This window comes from Homo sapiens, chromosome 1 (assembly GCF_000001405.40).
Source record: "Homo sapiens chromosome 1, GRCh38.p14 Primary Assembly".
In the NCBI taxonomy this organism is placed as follows: Eukaryota; Metazoa; Chordata; class Mammalia; order Primates; family Hominidae; genus Homo; species Homo sapiens.
In genome coordinates, this window is record NC_000001.11 from 195746630 (window position 1) to 195764142 (window position 17513).

The window sequence follows — 17513 nt, forward strand, 5'->3', positions numbered from 1 at the left end:
CATATAAAGTTTAATATTAGCTTTGCGTAATATATAAAATTCTTGCTGATATTCTGCATGAAATTTTGTTGAACCTATTGGTCAATTTCAGTAAAACTGACAATAATAAATTTTTAAATTAATAAAAAAATTTAGAGACAGGGTCTTTCTCTGTCACCCAGGCTGTAATGCAGTGGTGCAATCAAAGCTCACTGCATCATCAGACTCCTGGGCTCCAGCGATCCTCCTGCCTCAGTCTCTCAAGTGGCTGCGACTACAGGTCCAGCCATTTCAATCTTCTGGGCTCAAGCAATCTTGCCTCGGCTTCCCAAAGTGCTGGTATTATAGGCATGAACCACCCTGCCCAGTCAGTAATGAATTTTACAGTTTTCAAAATATATTTCTCCATTTATTTAGTTTATGTTTTGTTTCTTTTAGCAGTATTTTATATTTTGCAATGTAAAGAAAACTTGTGCACATGATTTAATACATTTAGTCTGAAACATTGCATAATTTATTTGGTAATAGATTTATTGAGATTGAATTCACATGTCACAATTTGCCCATTTGAATTGTACAATTCAATGGTTTTTAGTATAGTCTCAGAGTAGTGTAACCGTCACCACAATCCACTGGAGAACAGTTTTATCACCCCAAAAGAAACCTTATGTCTTCTAGCATTGAGTCTCTAATTTCCCATATTACACACCAGGTTACATTAAAAAAAAATACCTACTGATCCACTTTCTTTCTCTATAAATTTATCTATTCTATACACTTTCTGAAAATGGAATTATATAATATGTGATCTTTTGTTACTGGCTTTTTTCATTCATTTAATATTTTCAAGAACCATTCAAATTTTGTGGAATGTACTAGTCAGTAATTCCTTCTTTTTCTGCTGAATAATATTTCACTTTCTGTTTATACCACATATTATTTATTGATCAGTTGATGAGCAATAAGGTGGTTTACACTTTTTGGTTATTAAACGTTTCTAAAAACATTCATGTACAAGTTTTTGTGTGGACATATGTTTGGTGGATCACATGTTAAATTTATGTTTAACATTTTAAGGAACTGCCAGGCTGTTTCCCAAAGTGGCTGTAACATTTTACATTCTCACTGGCAATATGTGAGTTCTAATTTTTCCACATCTTTGGCAAAATATGCTATTATCTGTCTTTTTCATTATAGTCATTCTAGTAGGTGTAAAGTAGCATATTGTGGTTTTGATTTGCAATGTTATAATCTCTAATGATATTGAAGGTCTTATTCTGTGCTTGTTAATCATTTCTATATCTTCTATGGAAAAAAAATCTATTCAGATTCTTTGTTAATTTTTTAAAAATTGAGTTATTTTTAATAATGAGTTGTAAAAGCTCTTTATATATTCTGGATACAAATTCCTCATCAAAGATATGATTTGCAAAGATGATCTTTCTTTCTGTTTTGTGCTTTTATTTTCATGCTCAGTTCTACTCCACTGAGTTGTATGTGTCTCTTTATGCGCGTACCACATTGTGTTAAGTTTTGTAGTAAACTTTGACATCAATAAGTAGAAGTTACCCAGTTTTGTTCCTTTTCATTCCCAAGATTGTTTTGGCTATTCTGGTTCCCCAGAACTTCCATATAAATTTTAGTACCAGCTTGTCAATTTCCAGAAGCCAGCTGGGATTTTGTTAGAGATTGCACTAATGCATTAATTGTTAAAATGACAATAATAGGAAATATTGTCATTTTAACAATATTTAGTCTCTTTGCCATGTACATAGAGTGTCTTTCCATTTATTTACATTTTCTTTAACTTATTTTAACAATGTTTGGCAGTTCTAAGTGTATAAGATTCCACTTTTGCACTTTTGTTAAATTTATTGCTAAGTATTTTATTCTTTCAGATGCTATTAAATTGGATTTTTTCCTGCAGTCTTGCTCTGTGGCCCAGACTGAAGTACAGTGGCATGATCATAACTCACTGTAAACTTGAACTCCTGGGCTCAAGTGGTTCTCCACTTTAGCCTCCTGAGCAGCTAGGACTAACACGACCAACTAAGTTTTTAGTTTGTTTGTCTGTTTATTTCTCTGTTTGTTATAGAGACACTCCTGCTATTGCCCAGGCTGGTCCCAAACTCCTGGTTTCATACCGTTTTCCTGCCTTTGGCTCCTAAAGTGTGGGGATTACCTGCCTGGCTGGGAATTATTTTCTTAATATCATTTTGAATTGTTCATTCCTGGTGTGTAAAAATATAGTTGATTATTTTATCCTGTATCCTGAAATTCTGCTGAACTAATTTATTAGTTCTCTTTGATTTTTAGTTGATTTCTTAAGTTATTCCATATGCAACATCATGACATTTATGAATTGAGATGATTTTCTTTATTCTTTTTCAATCTAGATTACTTTTTTTCTCATATTTTTACATAAATGTCCTGGCTGGCACCTCCAGTACAATGTTGAATAGAAGTCTGCAAGAATAGATATTCATGCCTTCTTCTTTTTGGAAGATCATTGAGTCATTCATTAATCACTAAGTACAAGGTGAGCTGTTGATTTTTTGTAAATCCTCTTTTTCAGATTGAGGAAGTTCCCTCCTAGTATTTATGTGTGTGTGTGCGTGTGGTTCTAATCATGAAAATGAATCAGAGTTTGTCAAATACTTTTACTCTTTGCATCTATTGAGATGATCAAGTGGTTTTTGACCTTTGTTCTACTGATATGGTGTACTATATTAATTTTTTACATATTAAACCAATATTACATTTCTGAAATAGATCCATTTGTATATGGTGTCCACACATCTGTATATGTTGCTTGATTCAGTGCTACTAGTATTTGACAAGGGCATTTTTGTGCGTATATTCATTCATAAAAGACATCTGTCTGTAGCTTTCTTTTTACCTGATGTCTTTGATCTTCTTTTAATATCAGGAAAATACTAGTCTCATTATTATTTCTTAATGTTATTTATTAATAGACCATTTTCAAATAGAAATAATCTACGGTTTTAAGATGTCCTGAAAGCCTGACATTTTAGCATGCTTTTATTTTCTAAAAGTATGTTTTTCTTCTTGTTATCCTTGTTTATTCCTTACAATAGCTTTTTTTGTTAAATTAAAACTCAATTTGTTATGTAAATTTAATTTTTCGAAACTGAAGTAGGCATGCTACAGGATAAATTTTCTAATGACACAGAGCTCTGTGTGTGGTCACTTTTGGTATACTGCTAGAAAATATGGTGGTTTTGCACTCTGAAATTTTCTGATACAGTTTCCTTTCTCCACTTGTATCTATAATCTATCTTTTTTTTTCCACTTTTATCTGTAGCTTCTCTTTCTTTTGTTCTGTTGTTGCCTCTAATTGGCTTACTTTGATTCCATTTCAAACGATTTCTCTTCAGTTTGCTGTCCTGTCCTAGAAAACAGTTTAGCTGATCAGTTTTAAGTGTTTACTGTGACATTACAGCTCCAGCCATGGGGAACCACTATGAACTCCTTGTACTCATCTGCTATTGGATTCGGCAAAACTACTTCCCTTTTTCAACTGTTATTTTCAAACTGGACCCCATGTTTTCCATTAAATAGCTGTTGGCTATTTAAGGATTCTCCTATTATCATGACTATCAAATACTGTATTGAGTCTCACTACTTTTTCTTTGCACATATAATATTTACATGAACGTCTTGTGGTCATTTGCCTTTTGCACTTTTTGAGGTTCATAGGGATACCTTGTCTCTAGACTTTATTGTAAACAGTGTTCATGGGTTTTGAGTTTTACATATATAATTGCTCTCCTGTTTTTTTAATGTTAGGATTTAGAAAACTATGCTGCAATCTTCATCTTCTCAGATTTTCTTTATTATCTCTACATGCCTTCAAACAATTGGCTAATAAAATGCTTTTCAGTCACTAATTTTGGTTCCTAAAGTTATTTTCTCATTAATTTCAATGTGATTCACCAAAGATGAATGTGATTAGTTATGGTCACTATACCAGTTAACTGTTAATATTAAGAGACATGTTTTTAAATTTTCTATGATTTATATCAATCTCAACTTTAAGAAACAGAAAATATGAGTTCTGCAGCAGTTTCAAATGGGAAGGCTTAAACTAAATGAATCACAGGCGATATCTCTGAGACCTGTATTATAAAAAATTAAGTTGGTTGTTTTCACTGTTTATATTGAAATATTAACTGAATAAAATTGAATAAATAGTAAAAATAATTCTTATTAGCCAAATTTTGAGGATTTAACCCTGTTCCTACATATTTGAGAACTAAGCCAAGGTTCAAGTGAACTGATAGAAAATGAAGATAAAGTTCAAAATATTCTTTTAAGTTCAACAAAGAAAACACTAATGAAGGAAATAATTTTGGTATGTCTCAGGAAATATTAATGGAGTGACAAAGTGCTTAACTATTCTATAGATAATGATTTGTCAGTATTTATTACGAGACTTAGTTTGGCCAATATAGTGACTGTAAATTGACCCTTACTGCTATGGGAAAAATAGCAGTCTCTCCCTGTCTCCCAGGCTGGAGTGCAGTGGTGCGATCTCGGCCCACTGCAAGCTCTGCCTCCTGGGTTCATGCCATTCTCCTGCCTCAGCCTCCTGAGTAGCTGGGACTACAGGTGCCTGCCACCAAGCCCAGCTAATTTTTTTGTATTTTTTAGTAGAGGCAGGGTTTCACCATGTTAGCCAGGATAGTCTCAATCTCCTGACCTCGTGATCCGCCTGCCTCGGCCTCCCAAAGTAGAACTAGCTAAACTTTTATTAACGTGCTCTACCTAGTTCACATTCTCACAATTTCAAATTGAACTACATCACATCCTGAGTAGAAAATGAAGATATGAACAATATTGCAGATAAATATTAAAACTGAAGATATTAACACCCTTGCCAGTTATTTGTTGACATTTTTCACTCTTGATATTGGTGTGGTTTATTATAACATTTGGCTTAGCACCTAAGTTTGACAATGTTTTACAAAATCCATTCTTAAATTTCTGCAGTCCTCTATCATAGCAGATGACTATCTGGTATAAGAAAAGAAAAGAAAAGTTGGTCATAAAATAAGTTAAACACTCCTCTCTTTTGTTTGTTCACTTATGAGTTATATGTGAAACACATGAGAAAAATTCATGATTTTGACAATATAAAGGAAAATAGATTTTAAAAAAGAATGTAACTGCCTGTAAATATAAATAATAATTGGTTTCAGTAGACAAAAAATAATTCTTAAATATGATGAATAATCCAGTTGTAAAATGTGTATTATTCCTATAAGTTGGTTTGAATACAGACGTAAACATATATGTAAAATTTAGAAGCAAAGTAGTAAACAGAAAACGCAATAAGTAGCTGCCGCTAACTCAATAAATTCTTAGAGTTGGAGATTGAACTTGCTTTTTTGTCCCCAAGATCACATTCACTTCATCTTATGTTCATGCTTTCTCTTTTGCCAGGAAATATGTTCCAACAGATTTTGCCAACAATTTCAATATTTCTAAAGGTAAAAAATGAAAATATGAAAAAATAAGAAAAATATATGAATGTTACTACAGAATATATATACATAAAATATATAACAGTGTATAAAATACATTCAAATGAAGTTTTGGCCTATAACTTATACTCAGTTTGTTACTGAATTGATCAAAGGCATCACCATGTAAAAATTACCCTCCTCTTATATTGCTGTTATCCCATATGAGATTATATTAATATAAATGTGCATCACAATTTTAAAAAATAGAAAGATAACTTATTAAAATTCATGAGTGTTTTCTCCCTGTATGACTTCAGGCCCTGGGCATAAGGAACATGTGAATTTTCATGTCAAGGTTGAAAAATAAATCCCATTAGTATAGCAGTAATCAATTGGATGTATTTAGCAGAGAAAATAAAAGGTTTTTTAAATACAGAATATGTCCCTCTATAAACTAATAAACATTTATTTTAGAAATATATTTTATAAACATGGAAAAAACAGGCCAAATATAATGTGAGAATTTTTATATTGATCCATAGCAGTTTCTACTTCTGCACATTTAACCAAATGTCTTAGTTTGAAGGTAATCAGCCAAGTATAATATGTTCATATCATATTAATATTATGCCTTATAAGTAGGGAGAAATGTAAAACAAATTTCTGGGAGTTTTTGTCCCATGTAAGGACCCCTAATAGTTAAAAGATGGAGTACTGGGGCAAAGAATCCACTGAGATTAGATAAACAAGAAAGGTACAATAGCATTTATTTTTATAAAAGAAACAATTTTGCATGTAGCTTTATCTTTAAAATGTGATGCTAGTTTCAGGTAATGGTCCTCAGATCTAATTTCTATTTGTTTAATCACATACTATTATTTTGCATTACCTGGCATTTTTCTTGTAAGTAGTTATAAAATCTGCTAATGCTTCTACATGCATTTTAATAGAAAAATATTTTTTGTATTAAAAATAGAGAGCCATTTTAAAAAATAAGAATGGGTGTAGAAAAGTCAAATTAGGATAAAAAACACAAATAAGTTTTTTATGGTGAATATTTATTGCTTAAAGTATTTTGAACTATTTTACAAATCTATTACCCTTCAATACTATTCTCATGTCCAGTTTAATGCTGATACGGTGCAGTTAATTGAATCATGGGGGTGGTTCCCCCATCCTGTTCTCATGTTAGTGAATAAATCTCATGAGATCTGATGGTGTTATAAATGGGAGTTCCCTTGCACCCGCTCTCTTACCTGCTGCCATGTAAGACATGCCTTTGCTCCTCCTTTGCCTTCTCCCATGATTGTGAGGTCTCCCCAGCCATGGGGAAATGTTGAGTCCATTAAACCTCTTTTTCTTTATAAACTACCCAGTCTCAGGTATGTCTTTATCAGCAGCATAAGAACAAACTAATACAAATGCTGAGGAAGAATGATGTGATTTTTTCACTCATATAGTTCCTCTTCCAGTGGTTTGGTGAAGTTGTTAGTAGCAAAGGCAGGATGAAGATTTTGTAAAGAGTGGTTCAAAAGGCATAGATTACCCTATTTGATGAAAGAATAAAAAAGTCCACTTAGGTGAAAAGCATTTTTCAACAGATATTAGCAAGTTGCTTGGCTGTTGGAGACATTATTAGGCAGGTGATGGGTATCAGTGGTCCCAGGGTTATTCTTAATGAACCCATCGGTAGTAGAAAAAATTACCCACTTTATTGCCCATTTTAAAACTTTGACACATAAAGATAACTTCTGGATGACAGAAACTCTTGTTAGATGACAAAATATGTAGCAAGGATTATATCTTTCCAGCAAAATAAATTTATCTTTCATATTGTCATTCACAAATATTGTAAAATCTTGTATTTATTTATTAACATCTTCACATGTCCTACTTCTGAATTTCTTGAGGGTAAAGCACAATTTTAATTTCTGTTTATCTTTACATCACTTAGTACAGTGATTGGCATATAGTACACTACATATGTGTGTGTATTTAAATTAATTATGCTTATAATTAAATTACAGAAAAAAGAAATGTTGATATCAACTCAATGCTGACATTAAATAATCATATTACTTACAATATATTTTCTTTGACATTACAAATTAAATATTTTGAACAATAATGGCAAACTCTGAAGGAGGGTCCAGTTTAGAAAGACTATATGAATAAAAACTTATTTGGTATGACATTTCCAAATTCTATTACTTTTTGAGATAAGTGAATGCTTTATGGCTTGAAAAAATAAGTCTCTGAATATTTTTACATTCACTTTGGCCTGCAGTGCTTTTTCAAACAGATATAAAAGCGGAATTATGCCTTTAAGCCATTAAGGTCAGGATGTAAATTTTCAACATGTCTAAATTACGGTTAGCCTATGAATAATTTCTAGACAAAGCACTTACTGAGATGAATATCATGCCCCGGTATCTCAAAATTTCACTGAAAACAGAAAAATACACGTCAGCATGGAGTGACTCTCCATAAACATGTCAAACAAACCCAGAGAGAAACAAATAAAAGTAAGGCAGAGAAGGTATCTGTTTCTTATGAAATCATTTCTTGTGCTATGCCATAAAAATTAAAGTTATATCTTCACTATTATGTGATATAATATATATTCAGTCAAATCATTTAAGATATCTCATTTCCCATATCAACCATTTTATAATCAGATGCCTATTTCAATCCAAACACACACACACACACACACACACACACACACACACACACACACACACAGAGAGAGAGAGAGAGTGAGAAATACGTGGTTAACATGTATTATCTAAAAAAAGCAACCTGAATTTTACACTGTTTCAATGGAACAATGGTTTTTAAGTAAATCAATGAATCATAAATATTAGAACATGCACTTACTGAGATGAAAGTGACAGATAATAATTGGCACCTGGTTGTAGCTCCTATGTGGGATTGCACAATTTCAGCATGTAATTTTCATCTTTGCCTTTAGACTCAATTTCACCACAGCATTCACAAATCAGTAGACACTTAAGGAATGATTCATTCTAACCAAACCTTGTGGCTAGTCTAGATTAGAATACAGTTCTTTGCAAGCGGAATGATAATTTTCATATATTTTCAACAGTCAAGTAAGCTATACTGAATGTCTCCTTCCTGATATCAAATCTCTTAGGTTGTTAGCCAGTAATAAGAAAGTTTAATATTAATCACACAGTCATGCTTAAAATAAATGTCATACTTTAATAATGAAGTTTAAAGCCATGTTACCTCACTTCTTTTTCTTATTTCTCCACTGCCATTTCCCTATCAAGTAAGTTGTACTCATTGTCTCAAGAGAAGTGTGGATTTAACATAAAACAAATAATTTAATCAATTGGTGAATTTTAAGTGACGGCAAATGCAATAGTATGTGATCAAACAAATTTTAATGAATGTAAAGTTATTTTGAATAACATTAAATAATTTTAACTTTAATAATTTAAAATTTCAGTAAATTGTAAATAGAAAATATTCCCATATAATTATTAGTTCTCTATTGTTAATATCTTACATTAACATGGTGCATTTATCAAAATGAGGAAACTGCCATTGACTCTTTATTATTAACTAAACTCTAAACATTATTTAAATTTCTTTTTTTTCTGGTTAACATTCTCTCTCTGTTTCAGAAATTTGTTACATGTACTCAGTCTCCTCTGATGTGTGACAGCTTCTCAATATTTTCTTTTCTTATTTTTTCATACCTTGATAATCTTGAGGATTAATAACATAATAACCCATTTTACAGGTCACCTGTAAAATGTCCTTCAAAATGGGTTTTTCTGACAGTTTTTTCATGATTAGATTGGGGTTATAGGTTTTTGAAACGAATACAACAGAGGTGATGTGCTCTTCCCATATATCAGATTAAATATGATATGCACATGAGACCATTAATAATTTACCACCTGTGTAAGGTAGTGTTTGCCAGGTCTCTGAAAGCTAAAGTTACTGTTTTTCTCTTTGCATACTCTCTTCTTTGGAAACAGGTCACTAAGTCTAGGCCATCCTCAGAGGATAGTGACTGGCTGGTAATTAAGCACTTCTGGAGGGGGCAGTATCTATGTATATTATTTGGGCTTCTGCAAGGGAGGTTTTTTTTTTCTTTTTTCCTTATTTGTTTGTCTATGCAATAATTTATATAGGTTTGAGCTCACATATATATTTTATAGATTGAGTTATTGTGCAATACTACATTATCTATCTCATTGTTCAATTTTCTCCAGCTTGACCTTTTGGAGCTCTCTCAGATTGAATCCAGTGTCCCTTTGGCATGCCCCTTCTACTTTAATTTTTGAGGACTTTGTTACCTTGTGGTTCTATTTGAGCTCAAGGCTCACTTGGCATTTTCCCTGCCTTAGCCTTAACATGAGATATTCATTCTAAGAGTGCTTGTTTTTATTGGTTGGAGAATAATTAAAAAAAAAAAAAAAGACAGGATTGAGGTTTGTTGCTCAGGCTCTGGAGTGCAGCAGCACAAGCATAGCTCACTGCAGCCTCAAACTCCTGGGTTCAAATGATCCACCTGTCTCAGACTCCTGAATAGCTCAGAGTACAGATGCACACCACCATGCCCAGCTAATTATTTATTTTTACTTTTGGTAGCGATAGGGTCTTTATATGTTACACAAACAGGTCTCGAACTCCTGACTTCATGGGATCCTCTTGCCTCAGCTTCCCAAAGTGTTGGAATTGCAGGTATGAGCTACTGCTCCCAGCTGAGAATGGCATTTAAGTGCCAAAATCTGAGTGCTTCGTATGCTCATTATTATAGGAGCATCATTTTAAAGCAAACATATTTTACCTTTTAAATTTTGACTCTTGAGAGAAGGTTTTTTGTTCATTAAGAATTCTAAAATGTTGAATATATGTTGCGAAAACAAAATCTTTTGGATTTCTACCTTGTCTTGAAGGATTTTAAGATGAACTTGAGAATAGATATTGGCGTGTGGTGGTCAAATGAGAAAAATTTCCCTTCCCAAATGGATTAACAGTAAAGACTAGATGGTTGGCAGAGAATCAGAGAGTCTGTGACTAGATCTCATAGACTCTAAGAAGTGACCATCTCTTCCCTACACTTTGGGTTGAACTAAAAAAAAGACAGGGAGGCTAAAAAATTCATAAATAGATTTGAAGTGTCTTGGGGGCATAAATGGCATCACTGTCCTTTCCATAATATAACCCAGTAACAACTAAATCTTCAAAAAGTATGTTAAACATGGTACCTTTGCCAAAGGCTCAAGCAGCTTGTCTTTAGGACAAGTAGAGTCATGATGTATGACAGCTATGTCTAGATAAGAGTATTTGTAGGCATTCTCAGATGGTCAATAAAAACAGTGGGTGTCAAGAACCTAAACCAGATGAGTTACAACATAGCTGAGGTCAGGGAGAAAGAGAGAGGTACCTGTCAAGATCAGTATTGCTCCAAGTATTTCAGTTCTCCCTGTAGGCCTAAAGTAAGATCAAAATGTCTTACTACTTGTGCCCAGATGGGACCTTGGGGCTACTTCTGGTTGATGATTGTCAGCAGAAATGGGAAATGGGATATTCCATGTCTAGAATGAGCATTTGATTTCCAATAGTAGGCTCTCCAAAGCACTTTTTCCCTTCGTTTACAGCTACCAGTAACATATCACATGTCTTTTCTTTTTCAGATAATTTTGCTGTTATCATGAGCACCACAGAAAAGATAATAACAATAAAAGGTAGAACTATGCATTGGCCCTTGAAGGACAAGTAGCAGAAGCAAGAAATGAAACCATTGAGATTTTGAGGTTGTTACTCCAAGCATCCCGGGTAATCTTGACTAAGACAGAAATAAAAGCAGGTGACCTTCCCTTAATTCCAGGACAATATAGAGCTCTAAAAAGTAATTCTGACTTGGGGAGAAATAATAGAGAAATAATCCGCAAACTCTGAGTTTATAAAGAAGAGAAATAAATTGTTTAATAGAGTATCATGGGCTATATTATTATTAGTCACCTTTAACATATTTGCGTATTTGCTATATCTGCTGATATGTAAAAAATAAATTAGCTATTCAGCCACACAAAGTAATGGAGGAGCTTTAAATGCATATTACTAAGTGAAAAAAGCCAGTCAAAGGACTACATATTGTATAATTACAATTATATGAAATTCTGAAAAAGGCAAAACTATATAGAGATAGTAAAAAGTTTGGTGGTTGGAGAAGAGAGGAGGACCAAATAAATGAAATACAAGGGAATTCTAGGATAGTGAAACTATTCTTTATGATTCTTTAATGGTGGATGCATGACGTTATGCATTTATCAAATCCTGTAGAACTTTACTACAAAAAGAATAAACCATAATATTTGCCAATTTTAAAAAGTTATGCAGGAAGTCAGGGTATCCTAGGAAAGAATGCAGATTATGACAAACATGAGGATTTCACTGTATTACAAATGAAATATTCTAACAAAGGTGGTGAGGGAAAGGGGCTGACGGAAGTAACTGAAAATAGAGTCTACATAACTAAAGAAAAAGACGCTGCACATAAGCACTCTAATAAAGTTTCTTTTACGAGGACAGTTTAACAATTTTGATGATACTGTACATGTGTACTGGCATTGAACAATTAAGAAATGAATGGCAAATGCGAACCTGATTTCTGACTGCTGGAGTGGAAATTTACAGATCAGCAACAGGAGGAGCTATATTGATCCATGCTATAATGGGTTAGAGTTGGAGATATTATTAAGAATTCATGTTTAACTAAAATAGAGGCAGATGGTTAAATACAGAAGTATTTATAGGTGTGTATACACACTCAGGTTAGCAAACACTTATATTGTATATTCCTTTGCTTCATTGGCTAAGAGAAACTAAAAGAAGCAACATCCCAGTAGCAAAAGCACGTTTAGTACCCAAATCTTGATTTCTAACATCATTATCCAATAAGATGAACAAGCGTTCCTTGGCAAAATGGCAGATTCTAGGACTGAGGCAGAAAATATACAAGATGAGTTTAGGGTGTCTTACAGTACCCGAAAGTAAAGAAGTGCTAAAGGAAAGAAAAAAATACATTGATGGAACTATGTCAAAGTGGCATAGGAACCATCTGCACGAGCTCCCAAAGACCAAAACTGGAATAATTTCAGCAATTTCATCTCCACCTGCCAAATCCATCACCTCAGTCTAGTCATGAGGAAAACAAGACAAATTCTGATAGAATAGCAGTCTAAAATATACCTGACCAATACTTCTCAAAAACTGAAAAGGTCATCAAAGCCAAAGAAAGTTCTGAGGAATAGTGGCTGCTAAGATGAGCTTAAAGAGATGTGACAACTTCATGTATGTTGTATCCTTGATGGTATCTGGAATAGATAAAGGACATTCAGTAAAAATTAGGGAAGTCTAAGTAAACAAAAAAAACTGTAGTTAATATAGCATATAATATCCCTTTATTAATTGTAACAAATGTAGACTACAAATGCAAGATGTTAATAGGAAAAACTGTCTTTTGGGTATGTTATGCTCAACTTTTCTAACAACCTAAAATTTTTCTTAAAATGTTTATTTAAAATGGTATATACAGTAGGATTCTTATAACACTTATATCCTTTTATTTACCTTCTATCTCTATATATTTATCTGTCATATATATATAGATATATATACATATATACACACATAGCTTAGAAGTCAGAAGTCAGACAAAATACAATTTTGTTTAAATGATATTCATTTTAAAATTAAGATTTTACCACTTCTGAAGTTCTGGTGAATATCAGCATCATGTAAGAAAATTATTGGAATACAAATAAATATCTAAAATTTTATCTAAAATTGTAATTTTATTATTAAAAAATTTGCAATTAACTTTAAAGTTACAAATTGCAGGGCTGGAACTATGATTTCTCTGCACTGATGGCTGCCAGATTACTTCATTACTCTTATGTACATTACTGAATACCTTTTTAAATGAAGTTTAGTGAATGAGGAATTTTTTTTAATATCTCACTTTTTTTATGGTACCCTATTTGCTTCATTATATCTGGACCAATTTTGAATAATCTGATATGGTCTCATTTGTGATTTCCTTGTTTTTTCAACCAGTTAAAATTTGAGATAACAAAAGTAACTTCTATTTTATTTTACCCTCGCAGAATGTGGGTATTTATAAGTAGGATTTCTTTCAAAATTGATGGTATGAAAATCATTAAATTTTAAAACATTACTTTAATTTAAAATTATTAAAGCTTTAATAACATTATAAATATTGAAATATCAAATAATTATACAAGATTAGAATTACAATATCCAAATGCTATTATTATTTTATCAATCAACTTTTTATAAATATTTGGTACAAAGACTATAGTATTTTTCAAAAAATTCTCCAGCTAAAATACTTTCTAAATACATTTTAATCGACTCTGAAACTTTATTATGTTGTTTTGGTAGGAATTAAACAATTTTTATAATCATTATTATCTCAGCAATTGAGTAAATAATATACTTTTATGTGTTTATTGAATAATATAATTTTAATATAGAAAGAGTATAAAAAACCTTTACTCCAAATTACACATAAAATGCCTTCCTATAAGTGAAAGTAAATGTTTGATATTATTAGTACATTCAAATCCATAACTCTTTGTATCACTAAAGTTGTTAGACTTTATAAATCAAGAACAAGTTTATTTATGAATATATATAAATTCAAAATAATGAATGTAATAAATAGTAATACCATTTTTATATTATTAGAAATTGTAATGAGTATTCATCTGCTCATAGGACTTCCAAAAAGTGATTTTCTCCAATTCTGAAACAAAACGTAAATGTGTTCTATGTTTAAATCTATTCAAACTTTTCTGTAACTTTTATGCCAATGTATCTGAAAGCATATTTACCAGATGCTCACTAACATCCTTGCATTTTTCTCTCTTATATATGTTTGTTTCTGTCTTAAAAATAAGCATGTATAATTTTTACACTATTTGTAACATTATAATTTTCAAGTGTCACTCATGATCCAACATGAAGACTGTTTTTATCTAATAAAAGGTTGGAATGTCCTTATTCATAGCTCATACTCAGAAAGGTCAAGCAAAATTAGTACTGCATTTGTATTTACAAGATGTTAAACAATTACTCACAAGTAGGCTAATTTTAGTACCTTTGTGCCATGTGGAGATTAATCCCTTTCTTGAAGGTGTCATGTAGATTGTTGTTTGTCAGTTGATTGTGCAATTGAACAGTTTAATCACTTCTTGCTCTTCATTGCAGGCAGGAAGAGTTGGAAATTAGCTTTAAGAAGTCTAAATTTAGAGACATTGTTTAAGCTGTAACATTAGAAAATTTCTTCATTAAATTATCACACCCCTGTGCATACACACAAACAAAAATGGATTAGTTTAATAGAAAGACTAAATCAAAACTTAACTAGTATTGTTATTTTTGAGACAAATATTAATGCCAGAATTTTGACATTTTCTAGTGTCATATATGTGCTAATGTACTATTTTGTCATTTTGTTTGTGTTTGAAATGGTATATATACTATGTAAACTAAATTATTTATTAGGCATTTATTTTGTTTAAGAGTATATAGTAACATCACAAATTTTATTTTGTAAGATAATATTTTGCTAAAATTGATCTCAGATTCATGATATACAAAATAAAAGTAATAGAACCTCAAACTATCACTATCTATGTTGTCTTTGGTTGCTCTTTTATATAATATTATAATTAAGAATGGAGAGATTTGTTTATGTTGCCATTTATGACACCATTTGTGTTGTGTTGCAAACTTAAACTTTGGAGCAGAGAAACTTGCTGAAAAAAAAAACAACTTGTATAAATTAAATAAGAAACTGAAACACATTTTAAATATTTTGATTTCAGGTCATATCTTTTAAAATTTTATTTCTTTTCAGTGTACATCAATTTTTAAATTTTGATTTCTTTTATCTTATGAAGTTGAGTACTTAGATCATTTATGTTCAGTGTTTTCTCTACTTTTTTCATCATTAAATATTACCTTTTTCTTTCCTTATTTTATTTTTTACAAGCATGCAACAAAGCAATTCCTTCATGCATAGTTACTGGATATGTAAATCATTGCATTTTATTTTGAGGCCACTACATATGAAATCCCTTTAAAATCTGCATTCATTCAACCAACAATTTCATCTCTGTGCATACTCCACAATTAATTATGTGTATGTGCAATGAATTTTCCTCATGGATATATAATCACATTGCTGCTAATAGAAGAAGAAAAAAGGAAATAACACAAATATCCAAATCTTGGATCTTAGGAAATTAAGCAATGCTATAATCATACACAATTTCTTTGGGTTTCCTTAAACTTTCATGAAAACATTTAACAGCAGGCAACAATGCACACTATGTGTTAGTGTAGAAGAAGGTAAGATTAATGATTAAAGATAAATCAACCCAAAAAAATTCTATACATAAAAACAACAAATAACGTAAAATGCTAAAATAATCTATGTAAAATCTTTCAGACTCAAAAGTAATGTTTACGTAGAAGAAAAGAGAGAGCTATACCTCACAAAAAAATATTAGCTCTGTCACTAGCTATCAGTATGATCATTAACAATTCACTTAACCTGTTTGGGTCTCAGTTCCTAATAGTTAAAATAGGGATAAATACAGATGAGGACATATTAACTTCATAGATTTTTGTGACTATGTTAATTGAGGTAAAATGCATTTTTAATCTATTTGTTACATGTTAAAAATCATTATGAAGGTATAATTGTGATACAAAAATTGTACATATTTTGTGTACATATTTCGATACATTTGAACTTATGTATACACTTATAATACTATCACCACAATAAAGGTGCTAGACATATCTATCACCTCTAAAAATTTCCTTGTATTCTTTTTGTGTGCATGCGTTAAAAGAATACTTATCATGGGCACTATCGTCTTAACATATTTTAAATTTGTTAAAAGAAAAACTTTAGACACAATAAATTTAACAGTTTATTTGAGGAAAAAATGATTCATGAATCGAGCAGCTCTCAGAATCAGGTTTGCAGAGCTCCTCCTAGCAGTGTGAGCAATGAGATTTTGGTGGCCGCGGAAAGTAGGAACGAGAGAGCTGGAGCACGCCCCCTACCTCTTTGGCCTCTGTGGTTGCTGGCGTCTCACTCAGGTTTTTGGGTGCCACTGTGTTCCCCTCATCCAGACCCTGGTACTTGCAGCGGAAGCCGCCTGTGGTACACCTGGTCCAGCTGCAGCCTCGCAAGGAGCTGGTGCCGGTGCCGGTTCCTGGAGCTGCATGCCCTGCCGCAGCAGCTGGCGTGCCTGGCTGTGTGCAGTGGCCAGACCCCACGATCACTTGCTCACAAACCCCTTGCCACTCTGTACCTGGCTCTGTGCCTGGCTTGCCTTTGGCAGCCGTGGGATCCAGGGTGGTAGCGTGAGCCGAGTGCAGCTTGCCAGGTCGAGTGGGTGGAACCAGCCCAGCAGGCATGAGCAAAACTCAAGCAGAGGTACCACCGGCTACTGGGGCTGGTGAAGCAACACCCCAAAAAGTCCTGCATCATTTTAAGTGGCTCATCCGGGATCTGTAGATGTGTGAGTAAAAGCGGACTTGCTGCTTTTCTGTCCTTTTTTTTTTTTTGAGTCCCTAAACTCCACAATAGCTAAAATGAAAGAAAAACACCGGGCCTCTGTCAGCCAGTTAAGGGCTGTCAGACTTAAGACATGGAGGACAGGTTTGCAGGCAAGGACACTGTCAATCCCCCTGTCGCCTTCAGGTGTTGGGAAATGTTGGCTTTTTTCCAATCCAGTTTCCCTTCTCAGAGGTCTAGCCATTGCCTCGGCGTGGAATAAGGTCCTGGAGGAAATGAAGGCATCTGGCTGAGGCCACACCTTGGTGTTGCCTGAGGGCCCCTAGACCAGCTCCAGTCCCTGACAGCCCATTAGGGTGTCAGCACTAGGATCTCCAGTCTTTCCTATCACATTTTCTGTCTTTCGTGGTTGTCATAACTCCTATCTCTTCTTTGTA

At 32.8% G+C, this 17513-nt stretch overlaps 1 long non-coding RNA gene across 1 annotated transcript; it reads right to left on the reverse strand.

Annotated features, from left to right (window-relative positions):
- Positions 1-489: 489 nt before the first annotated feature.
- LOC105371672 (uncharacterized) lies at positions 490-16783 on the reverse strand. The gene is made up of 5 exons (XR_922393.3): positions 16620-16783; positions 14638-14779; positions 12705-12829; positions 6725-7015; positions 490-5486 (listed from the first exon to the last, which is right to left on the reverse strand). It is a non-coding gene; the product is annotated as an uncharacterized LOC105371672 (long non-coding RNA).
- Between the last annotated feature and the right edge of the window lie 730 nt (positions 16784-17513).